This window comes from Homo sapiens, chromosome 1 (assembly GCF_000001405.40).
Source record: "Homo sapiens chromosome 1, GRCh38.p14 Primary Assembly".
NCBI classification, from domain to species: domain Eukaryota; kingdom Metazoa; phylum Chordata; class Mammalia; order Primates; family Hominidae; genus Homo; species Homo sapiens.
The window spans coordinates 158458369-158470812 of NC_000001.11; the positions used below are offsets into that span (position 1 = coordinate 158458369).

At 37.2% G+C, this 12444-nt stretch overlaps 1 protein-coding gene and 1 long non-coding RNA gene across 2 annotated transcripts; one reads left to right on the plus strand and one right to left on the minus strand.

The window, feature by feature from the left end:
• Positions 1-1218: 1218 nt before the first annotated feature.
• On the minus strand, positions 1219-4403 carry LOC107985212 (uncharacterized). The gene is made up of 2 exons (XR_001738256.3): positions 3803-4403; positions 1219-3382 (listed from the first exon to the last, which is right to left on the minus strand). It is a non-coding gene; the product is annotated as an uncharacterized LOC107985212 (long non-coding RNA).
• OR10K1 (olfactory receptor family 10 subfamily K member 1) lies at positions 3466-9090 on the plus strand. Its single transcript, NM_001004473.2, has 2 exons — positions 3466-3536; positions 7038-9090. The coding sequence occupies exon 2, from the start codon at positions 7194-7196 to the stop codon at positions 8133-8135; it is 942 nt and encodes a 313-aa protein (NP_001004473.1). The 5' UTR covers positions 3466-3536; positions 7038-7193; the 3' UTR covers positions 8136-9090.
• The last annotated feature ends 3354 nt before the right edge of the window (positions 9091-12444 follow it).

The window sequence follows — 12444 nt, forward strand, 5'->3', positions numbered from 1 at the left end:
CAGAAAACAGATTACTGTTTTTCTGGGACCAAGACTGAGTAGAACTGACCACAAGTGGGGAGGGGGAGAGTTCTGGCATTGTAGGAATGCTCTGTAATTTGATTGGAGTGTTTCTGGGACCAAATCTGGGTAGAATTGACCACAGGGCTGGAGGGGGAGATTTCTGGCATTGTAGAAATTCTTTGTAATTTGATTGGGGTGTTGTTGCTTAGTATTGCTTAAATGTACCAAACTGTACATTTAAGTTGGGAACATTTTATATGATGTAAGTTAATCCTCTATAAGGTTAATTGTTAGTATTAAAAGTTTTCTAATAAAAATAAAAGACAAGGTGGAACACTTTTAATTCAAAGGTCAAACACAATTATTGAACCAAGTAGTCTCTCAAATCTATAAAGAAAAAATGTAATAGGAAAATAAATAGATAATTTTCAAAAGTTGGATAACAGTGTCTGATAATTTTTTTTAAAGTGCTTACCTCTACTATTAATCAAAGAAATGTAAATGGGAGCACGGTATGATTTTTATATTTCATCTTGGCTAGAATTTAAAAGATTAAAAGTAACATCATATACATTATGGAGAAATTGGCATCTTCACATATTGTTAATGAAAGTATAAGTTTTATAACCTTTGTGGAGATTATATGCCAACACAATGCATATTAAAATTTGAAATAAGAATAGATTTTCAATCAGCAATTTCATTTTGTGGGTAATGCACAATTTTTCAAAAAACTATTTCATTTATCCAAACTCTGAGAAATTTATAAAAATTAATAAAATGGCATTTATAAAGTTATTCCAACTATGGACAAGAAAAATCACAACTCTAGCATCTATTGCAAAGATTGAGGTAGGTTTACATATTGTTACTTTTTGAGAGTCTATGAATTTAAAATAATAGGTTTGATAGAGAAAATAGAGGCTTATGTATGTATTGGAAGATTAGGAGAATAAATGTCAGGAAAGCTGCTCTTGATTTTCCGAATTGCAAGGATCACAGGAAGCCCTCACAGATGATCTTGGCTGCTTCAGTACTGATGGATGATTCTCAGAAAATCTGAACGTGAAGGGCTAAAGTCCACATCTATCATCTGATAAGTGCTGGCATATCACCCTGCCCCAAACAACTGGCTTCCCCCTTCTGCATCCACATATTTCATGAATGCTCCTTTTTTGTAAAACCCTTTTGGCAAGGTGATATGGAAAACAGACATCAGGATTTCCAGAATTTTTATTCCTACATTGTGGTACAGAGAACTTAGAAGTGTAAGTATGATACTAAATATCAGTAAAATATAGTCAGCACAGGTTTCCCTTTTAGATATTCACCATCCATACACATCCTTCTGTTGATGTTTAAATTTCCAAACAGTAATAACGAATATAACGAAAATACATCTCACATAAAGAGGTACCCACATTTATCTCTAAAAATGAAACAATAAATTATTTGATAGCCTTTTCTTTGTAGATGGAATTATAATGTTTTGTAACATCAACACACCTTATATATACTGGTAGGTTAAGACAAGATGGGAAAATGATCAACATACACATATATACATAATAAAGCAAGCAGTAAAATAAAACAGCTACTGCAATCCTTGTTTCTGTAAGTAAACATGACTATCACTGATGCTTATGACTTTTTAAAATGTCACCTGTTTATATTCTTTTGAACTCACCTAATACCCCAACATTTCTGAAGGGCTTGAACTATTAGTGACTGCCTAAATTAGGTTGTTTTAGTCTTCTATTAAATTTTGCCTTTATATATGAAGTAATAAAAAATGCCCTAGAACATCTAGATTCTAGACATACTATTTTCTGCCTTGGTAGTGTAGCGGCAACACCCTATTTTTCGTTAAAAAACAGGATTCATTTCTGTCTGTAGATTACTGGTACAGAAGGACAAAGTAGACTGAAGTGGCCAAGGGGCCATCTCAATCACCATTTTTGTGTTTTCTGGTGGAAGTAACACTCCTTTGTGAAATAACACTTCTAATCCACAAAGCTCAAACTTATGCATATAAGTCATTAGGAGTAATAACAGAAGGATTCATTTCATCTCCCCTTAAACGTCGGTTCTCAGACTTATACATTCTTGTTAGTAGAGAATGAACACAATCCTTTGGCTGCTGGTTCAGAGTATATTCTGCTTTGGGCAGACACATGGGGCTGTACTAGGTATTGGCACAGAGCCAGTGCAGTAACTGAGCCTCAAGTAAACCGTTTCATATTCCACCAGGTCACCTCCTTCTGAGCGGTGGAATACACAGAGGCTTCCCAGTATTATTTAGTACATAATTATAATTCTCTCACTGACTTGTGAGGTCACTTCTGCCAAAGACCAAGTTCTCAAATACACATACATTAATTTCTGAGCTCTCCTTTCTGTCTCTATACTACTTATTTCTTCTTGCACCAATAGCATGCTCTTTTTTATTACTAAAGCATAGTTTTTTTTTACTAGGAAGAGTGAGGGCCTATATTACTTGCCCTTTACAAAATTGTTTTATAATTTCATGAAAATTTTGGAAATCTGATTGTCAGGGTGACTTCAAAATTTATGCATGGATTTGGGTTGGAATTATATTGGCTTTATAGATTAGCTTGAACAAAATTCACAACTCTATATTATTTTGTCATTCTGGTAAAATGCATTAATAAGATAACACACTGTTTGATGACAGAGCTCAACTAGATTTAGTATACTTACTAAAATTTTAGGTTTTTGCAAAACATCTCAATGTTCTTAATTAGAGTTTCTAGGGGCAGCGCCCTGGAAAACATCATTCAACCCTCTTTTGATTCTTAGAAACACTGAAGTTGAGTGTCATTGGACAAATACATCAGTCTTCTGATTAAAATTCAGTAAAAATTTTCCACTTGGTCTGTTGCATTACAGTCTTAATTGTGGTGGGCTCTCCTTCAGAATCCATCACAACTTTCAAATGGACTCAACTTTCAAAGCATACATGGGCTAATTATGCTCATGACTTCAACTCCCCAGGCTCCTCAACTGAGGCCACCTTTGAGAAACTGGTGACATTATTTTTTCCAAAATGAACTTGACTCCTAATTAACCCCAAGACAACAGCTCCAGTGCAGTAGATCTAACCTCAGGAGTCCAGTGTTTACAGTACATGCTTCTAATAACCACATCCCACGTTGGTCATCAGAACTTCTGAAGATGGTGACTTATCTGGAGAAGCTGGGAGTCCTGATAGATGGAGGAGGCTAGCTCTGTTGATTCAGATGAGAGTTTCTATCTCAAGGCAGCTTCCCTCTCATTTGCTGTTATTTCCTCAGGCTCTGATTTGTGGCAGTGGTGCTACTTGTCAGGAGACTGCCAAATACTGAATAGCTGCTTCTCTCTAAATTAGAAGGGAGAGAGCAATGTAAGTACTTACCGAGCAGTGGGAACATTGACCTAGCTTGGGGATTTGTGGGGACTGGACTTGAATGATGGGTAGTGTTTGAGAAAGCCTCTTTCTGTGCCTCCCATGGAGATCAGTGATGGCATTTCTGGTAAGTAGCAGAGTTAAAAAGGAGAATCAGAGGCTACCTTTCACTGAACTTACTAAGAGTGACTGGGAATGGCCTTTATAATTCTCAGAATTTGGCTGGGTGTAGTGGCTCACCCCTGCAATCCCAACACTTTGAGAGGACAAGATGGGTGAATCACCTGAGGTCAGGAGTTTGAGACCAACCTGGCCAACATGATGAAACCCCGTCTCTACTAAAAATAAAAAAATTAGCCAGGCATGGTTGCGTGCACCTGTAATCCCAGCTACCTGGGAGGCTGAGGCAGGAGAATTTCTTGAACCTGGGAGGCAGAAGTTGCAGTGAGCCGAGACCGTGCCATTGCATTCCAGCCTGGGAAACAGAGTGAGACTCCTTCTGAAAAAAAAAAAAAAATTATCTGAATTGTTCTTGAAGATCATATTGGGTCATTCTTACTCATAGCTAGATTTTATTTTCTTTTTTCTTTTCCTTCCTTCCTTCCTTTCTTCCTTACTTCCTTCCTCCCTTCCTTCTTTCCTTCCTTCCTTCCTCCTCTACTTCTCTTTTTTGTTCATTGGTGGATTCATGGATTAAATGAAACAGATACTCCACTTGTCTCTCATCTCTCACTCTTCTACTTCTGTTTCTGCTGTGTACTCCTGGATGTATAATTTTAGGTATAATTGAAATCTAGTACTTAAACTCCATTTTAATATGGCAATCTGGAGAAATTAAAGATTTTTATTTGTATCTAAGAAGTTAAAATTTCACTCCTTTATTATCTGAAGCTGCTTACATAATTTCTCTCAGCTAACTGATTGATGTTTTCCTTAAAATAAATATTTATATTTCTTAAAAGTTTTACACGTGAAAACTCTGTAGATTGCCTTCTTTTGGGGGAACCCAGCACCCTCAAGTACTTTGTTTCTATTTAAATCCAGATTACATAAAATCCCAGTGGAGCATCTGAGGAATTAGAAAAATAAAACACTGAAGTAGCATCTCCAAGGATCATAGCCTGAATTCTATTCATACGTTCTAAAATATCACAATTAAGGGGATTTTGAGATCATCTAACTAGAGAGTCTTTGATTCTCTGAGCAAGAAAGGCTCCTAGGGGTCATAGTACTCCGATACTATCTTAGTCAAAATTCCTCTGTAAAATGTTCAGGGATCCTCTGCTTCAGTGCCTTCCACATATCCCAACAGTTTATTCCATTACTGTTTATGCTATCCCTTTAATTAAAAAAAAAACTAAATATTGAAGGTATATACTTCATCTAAAGTCACAGAAGACTAGACCTGAAACCTAAATCTTTTCACATCACCCTAAAGATCTTTCATCTTCATTTTACAGCTTGAACGTATTTTGTAGGATGAGAATTTTTATTTTCCTGGTCTTAAGTCTTTCTATCAGTACAGATGACAACACACTATGGTGGTCCCTAATGGCATCTTGAGCAGATGGGGGCTGCCTTCTCAGATGCACCATGGAGCTGAATCCATAGATCATAAAAAGGCAATTATATCGATCACATGATTCATTTAGGCTATGGATTTATATTAATACTATGTAAAAATCCACTGGACTAGAATCAGCTGTCCTCATGTGCCTGAGCAAAAAATAATCCAAACAATTCTCTTTGGTATCAGTTAGATACAGGTACTCCTTCAGAATCAGAGAATTCCAGCTTCCATGGTTTACATTATTCATCATATTCAGTCAAGTGAGGGCCTAGTGGCGGTTAAAGGTTGATTAGTTGAAAGAAGATTCAAATGAAAGTCTTTTGGGAAAGCAATGAGGCAAGGCTAAGCAATGACCATAAGTTTAGATTTCCTCATTGTTTTGAATAGACAGGAAATCATTTGTCCAGAAGGAGGTATTATGTAGGGAAACTTTTACCTTTCTGTATATAAAAACATATAACTAATACACACACACTCATACACAAATATCAATGGAGGTATACATTGTGTTTACTTTTTCTATGTTTATGTACAATAGTAATATCTTTATAGTTATACTAACGTTATTAAAATAAGTAATTATATTAACTAAGTTTAGGACCAGTTTCTAGTAAGTAAGAAAGAAAAAAAATCATCTCCAAATTCTATGAATAGATATAATGAATTTCAAGAATGCCTGATGAATTAACTTAGGATTCAGGAAACAAAAAAAGTTGCTATTGAATAGAAAAATGGAAAAGTAACAGCAACAAAATTCTGGTAGCAGATGCCAATAATTTCCCAAGACAAAATGATGTAGTAACTTCAGAAGTATATAAATGAAGACTGGATACCAGCAAGACATACTGGATGATTTTGTATCCAGATAGTGCTTTTTTTACTTATTAGGTTGGGTTATTGAAAAATGTTCCAGTGAAAAAAATTAGGCCTAAGATGATTTTAGAAATAATTTGTAATGGCAGTTTGCAAAATATTTTTAGTGGCAGAATGTTCAAAAGAAATCTTATTAACATAACAACATACAAAAGATACAAAGCCTATGGTTTACAGCAGGAGAGGGGAAACTGGCAAAATTCCCAAGTGTGCCATTCTCTCTCACACTCTGTAGCAAGCTCTGTCATTTCTACAAAACTCTTATTTCTCTGAGTTTCTCCAAGTTAGCTCAGCATGGAAAAGTGAAGTGTGTTACAAAATGCCACAAAGTCAGTCATCTCTCTTTACCACCCTGGTGACTATTCTCTTCCTGAAAGAAGAATTTTTTTCTTTATACTAATGCACTAATGTTATTTATTTTTATTTTATTTTATTTATTTATTTTTGAGACAGATTCTCACTGTGTCACCCAGTCTGGAGTGCAGAGGCACAATCTTGGCTCACTGCAACCTCCGCCTCCCGGGCTCAAGTGAATCTCATGCCTCAGCCTCCCGAGTAGCTGGGATTACAGGTGTGTGCTGCCATACCTGGCTAATTTTTGTACTTTTAGTAAAGACCAGGTTTTGCCATGTTGCCGAGGCTGGTCTTGAACCCCTGGCCTCAAGCAATCCACCCACCTTGGCTTCTCAAAGTGCTGGGATTACAGGTGTGAGCCACCACATCTGGCTAATGTTATTTTTTGTTTCACTGTTGACTCAATGTTTCAACTTGTGGAACTTCCAATAGTATTTCTTATTGTTCCCTTGGAGATATAAAAAGTTCCCAGTAAATAGATGTGTGCTCACATCTTTACTTAGAGACCATGGAATACTTTATCTCCTTTCTCATTTCATGGTTGGATAAACTGAAGTCCACATGATTATGTCTGAATATTATTCATTCTTTCGTTCTATATTCTGATCAGCTTCAGGTAGCTGAAGTTAACGTTTTCCACTTTGGAGAGTGAGTTGCCTTGGGTTTATAGTAAGTGACAAAAACAACAATCTCTCTGTTACATAAGAAGGAAAACTATTAGCAAATTTCCTAATCCTTGGTCAGAGAGATAACCTGTTCTTCACATTAGAGAAGGCCTCCAAACTGGCTATCAGTTATTCTTTTGCATATTTTGCCTAATTCTTCTTTTAGCAGGCATTTTAATGGGGGAATGAAGAATTCCATCAAATATCTGGAAATGCCTGCCACCTGCAAACTTTGTGTGAAATTTCCCGTACATTTCCACTCTCCTTTCTGGATCCTGGTTTCTACCTCTGTCCCTGACTCTCCTTTATAGAAGTGCTCTCCATGGAGCAAGTCAATAAGACTGTGGTGAGAGAGTTCGTCGTCCTCGGCTTCTCATCCCTGGCCAGGCTGCAGCAGCTGCTCTTTGTTATCTTCCTGCTCCTCTACCTGTTCACTCTGGGCACCAATGCAATCATCATTTCCACCATTGTGCTGGACAGAGCCCTTCATACTCCCATGTACTTCTTCCTTGCCATCCTTTCTTGCTCTGAGATTTGCTATACCTTTGTCATTGTACCCAAGATGCTGGTTGACCTGCTGTCCCAGAAGAAGACCATTTCTTTCCTGGGCTGTGCCATCCAAATGTTTTCCTTCCTCTTCTTTGGCTCCTCTCACTCCTTCCTGCTGGCAGCCATGGGCTATGATCGCTATATGGCCATCTGTAACCCACTGCGCTACTCAGTGCTCATGGGACATGGGGTGTGTATGGGACTAATGGCTGCTGCCTGTGCCTGTGGCTTCACTGTCTCCCTGGTCACCACCTCCCTAGTATTTCATCTGCCCTTCCACTCCTCCAACCAGCTCCATCACTTCTTCTGTGACATCTCCCCTGTCCTTAAACTGGCATCTCAGCACTCCGGCTTCAGTCAGCTGGTCATATTCATGCTTGGTGTATTTGCCTTGGTCATTCCTCTGCTACTTATCCTAGTCTCCTACATCCGCATCATCTCTGCCATTCTAAAAATCCCTTCCTCCGTTGGAAGATACAAGACCTTCTCCACCTGTGCCTCCCATCTCATTGTGGTAACTGTTCACTACAGTTGTGCCTCTTTCATCTACTTAAGGCCCAAGACTAATTACACTTCAAGCCAAGACACCCTAATATCTGTGTCATACACCATCCTTACCCCATTGTTCAATCCAATGATTTATAGTCTGAGAAATAAGGAATTCAAATCAGCCCTACGAAGAACAATCGGCCAAACTTTCTATCCTCTTAGTTAAAGAGCTATTTTTTAAACTACTAATGCCTAGTACATGCCAGGCAGAACGTGTGTTTTATACATTTTTTTTCATTTAATTGTCCAGCTCCACTGTAACATAAGAACATTTTACATATGAGAAGAATGAGGCTCACAGAAGTTAAGACAGTCTGGCTTTCTACTCTCCATGATACTTTAACAAGACTAATCAGATATGGGAACAGAGCACACAGTTCCATAACAAATTTAATTATATTTTACTGCTTTAAATATTGCTAATTTAAAAACTAATATGAGAGCAAAGATGCATCTAAACTGATGAGAGCTGTGTCTTGAAGTAGAGAGCTTGGATACATCAGGAAAGAAAAGATGTATCCAAAAAAAAAAAAAGAAAGAAAAAAGAAAAAAAAAAGGAAAACAGCAGGAAATCCATCTATCCGTACTTTTCTTTTCCTAAAGACAACAGAAAACTTTGGTCCCACACATTCTGCTACAAATCTTGGTGGTCCTTTTTGTCCCCAATTCATTTCCTTAACCTACATATTGAAATATCTTGGCCTTTACTTGGGGTTGTTTTGTTCTTCCTTTGTTTGAGGTGGAACCACTTTATGGTTCTCTTCCTGATGCACATGTATGTCCTTCACATACTAGTGTGTCTTAGCCCCCACATTTGTTCCTGAGACACCATACTAATTTGCTCTCTTCAAGGAAGCTACTAGCATTGCCTACTTGCTGAAATATCTCAAGTAATTCCAAGCAAAGGGCTTGAGTTAATATTAATAGAAGGCTAGATTCCTAGAATGACCAGAAAACTCATGGAAAACCCTCCAGTGACTCCCTTTGCCCTACAAGATAATGCCAAGGGTCCTTCATTGTCATGAATCTATCATCTAGTTTCCACCTACCTCTTCAGTATTATCATTTCTAATTTTGTTATTCTCCATTTTCTATATGCCTTTTGTACACTCTGAAGCTAACCAACTATTTGCTTGTTTTAAAACAAATAAATGTGATGAACAAAATAAATGTGGTCTCTGCCCTCATAGGCCTTATTGCCTGGTTCAAGATAGTCCCAGTAAACAGAAAAATGAGGGAAAATACCTTACCAGTTTAAGTTGATTCTCTGAAGAAAAAGTGCATGCAGGCGATAGAGGAGAGAATACTAAGATAAACCTAATTTAGATCGAATGGCATAGGGTTGGTTTCCCAGAGAAACTGAGAGTTAACCTGCATGTAACCTGAAGGGTAATTAAAAGTCTTCAGGTAAAGGGGATATCCTTTAGGACAGAAGAAACAATGTGTACAAAACCCCTGAAGCAAGAACTGGATGAGTTGGAGACAAGCAAAGAAGGCCTGTATAAATGCTGTTTTAAAAATGCTTTTCAATTGACAAAATTATATATATTTATGGTGTAAAACATGATATTTTCTCCCATCCTGTAGGTTGCCTGTTCACTCTGATGGTATTTTCTTTTGCTGTGCAGAAGCTCTTTAGTTTAATTAGATCCCATTTGTCAATTTTGGCTTTTGTTGCCATTGCCTTTGGTGTTTAGACATGAAGGCCTTGCCCATGCCTATGCCCTGAATGGTACTGCCTAGGTTTTCTTCTAGGGTTTTTATGGTTTTAGGTCTAACATGTAAGTCTTTTATCCATCTGGAATAAATTTTTGTATAAGGTGTAAGGAAGGGATCCAGTTTCAGCTTTCTACATATGGCTAGCCAGTTTTCCCAGCACCATTTATTAAATAGGGAATCCTTTCCCCATTTCTTGTTTTTGTCAGACAAAGGGCTAATATCCAGAATCTACAATGAACTCAAACAAATTTACAAGAAAAAAACAAACAACCCCATCAAAAAGTGGGCAAAGGATATGAACAGACACTTCTCAAAAGAAGACATTTATGCAGCCAGAAAACACATGAAAAAATGCTCATCACTGGCCATCAGAGAAATGCAAATCAAAACCACAATGAGATACCATCTCACACCAGTTAGAATGGCGATCATTAAAAAGTCAGGAAACAACAGGTGCGGGAGAAGATGTGGAGAAATAGGAACACTTTTACACTGTTGGTGGGACTGTAAACTAGTTCAACCATTGTGGAAGTCAGTGTGGCGATTCCTCAGGGATCTATAACTGGAAATACCATTTGACCTAGCCATCCCATTACTGGGTATATACCCAGAGGATTATAAATCATGCTGCTATAAAGACACATGCCCACGTATGTTTATAGCAGCACTATTCACAATAGCAAAGACTTGGAACCAACCTAAATGTCCAACAACGATAGACTAGATTAAGAAAATGTGGCACATATACACCATGGAATACTATGCAGCCATAAAAATAATGAGTTCATGTCCTTTGTAGGGACATGGATGAAACTGGAAACCATCATTCTCAGCAAACTATCGCAAGGACAAAAAACCAAACACCGCATGTTCTCACTCATAGGTGGGAATTGAACAATGAGAACACATGGACACAGAAAGGGGAACATCATACACTGGGGACTGTTGTGGGGTGGGGGGAGGGGGAGGGATAGCATTAGGAGATATACCTAATGCTAAATGACGAGTTAATGGGTGCAGCACACCAACATGGCACATGTATACATATGTAACAAACCTGCACGTTGTGCACATGTACCCTAAAACTTAAAGTATAATAATAATAAAATAAAAAAATTAAAAAAATACAAAAAAAACATGATATTTTGATACACATATGTATTGTAGAATGGCTAAAGTTAATTAACATATACCTTTAGCTCATGTACTTATTTGTTTGTGGTGAGAACACTTACAATCTACTGTTAGCAATTTTCAAGTATATAATACATTATTATTAACTATAGTCACCAAGATATGCAGTAGAGCTTTTAAAATTATTTCTCCTATCTAACTGAAATTTTGTACCCTTTGATAAACATTTTCAAAACTCTCCCCTCAACTGCTCAACCAATTTCAGCCTCTGGTAACCAACATTCTACTCTCTGCTTTTATGAGTTTGACTTTTTTTAGATTCCACATATGTGTGAGATCACATGGTGTTTGTCTTTCTGTTCCTGGCTTATTTCACTTAGCATAATATCATCCAGGTTCATCCATCTTGTTGCAAACAGGACTTCTTTCTATATATGGCTGAATAATATTTTATTGTGTATGTATACCACATTTTCTTATATTAGGTTGGTGCAAAAGTAATTGTGTATTTTTTTTTGCCATTACTTTCAATGGCAAAAACTGCAATAACTTTTGCACCAACCTAATACATTTGTCCGTTAATAGACACTTACTTAGGTTGATTCCACACCTTGACTATTGTGAATAATGCTACATAAACATGGGAGTGCAGCTATCTCTTTGACATTCTGACTTTATATCGATATACATCAAGTAGTGGAATTACAAGATCATATGGTAGTTATATTTTCAGTTTTTTGAGGAACCCCTTACTGAGTTCCATAATGGCTGTACTAATTTACAACTGTCAACAGTGTGTAGGGGTTCCCTTTTCTCCAAATCCTCCCTAACACTTTACATCTTTTGTCGTTTTGATAATAGCCATTCTAACAGGTGTGAGGCGATATCTCATTGTGGTTTTAATATGCATTTTCTGATGAATAGTGGGGTTGAGCATTTTTTCAGCTACCTACTGTCCATTTATATGTCTTGGGAAATGTCTATTCAGATTCTTTGCCCATTTCTAATTGGGTTATTTGTTATTTTATGATTGAGTTTTTAAAGTTCTTCACATGCTGTGAATGTTAACCCATTATCAGATATATGGTTTGCAAATATTTTCTCTCATTACATATGCTGTCTCTTTATTCTTTTGATTGTTACTTTTTCTGTGCAGAAGTTTTTTAGTTTGATGTAATCCCATTTGTCTATTCTGGCTTCGATTACCTGAGCTTTTGGGGTATAAATTCTTTTTCTGCTTTCTCTCTGGAATGAATTTGAATTTACTGACAGCATGGGTTTTTGCACCAGACACAACTTTGTTGACCCAGTTCCTTGTATGGTGCCTGGCATAACAGAAATATCTGTTTTATGAATGGCCATCACTGTCCTGCAATTTTATGTGCCCCCCAATCTTGCTCTGCCATCTTCATGCCTTATCTTGGTGAATATTAACTCCATCCATTCTAGCAACCATGCCAAGCACATGGAAGTCATCTTCACTACTTTTTTTTTTTTAATCCTCATACCACCCATTGTGTCCTATAGATTCCACTGGCTAAAAGTTCCTCAATCACATTCCTTTTCTGTTTTTACAGGATCATCCTGTCTTTTCTGGATTACTGCAAAAACTTCAAGTCCCT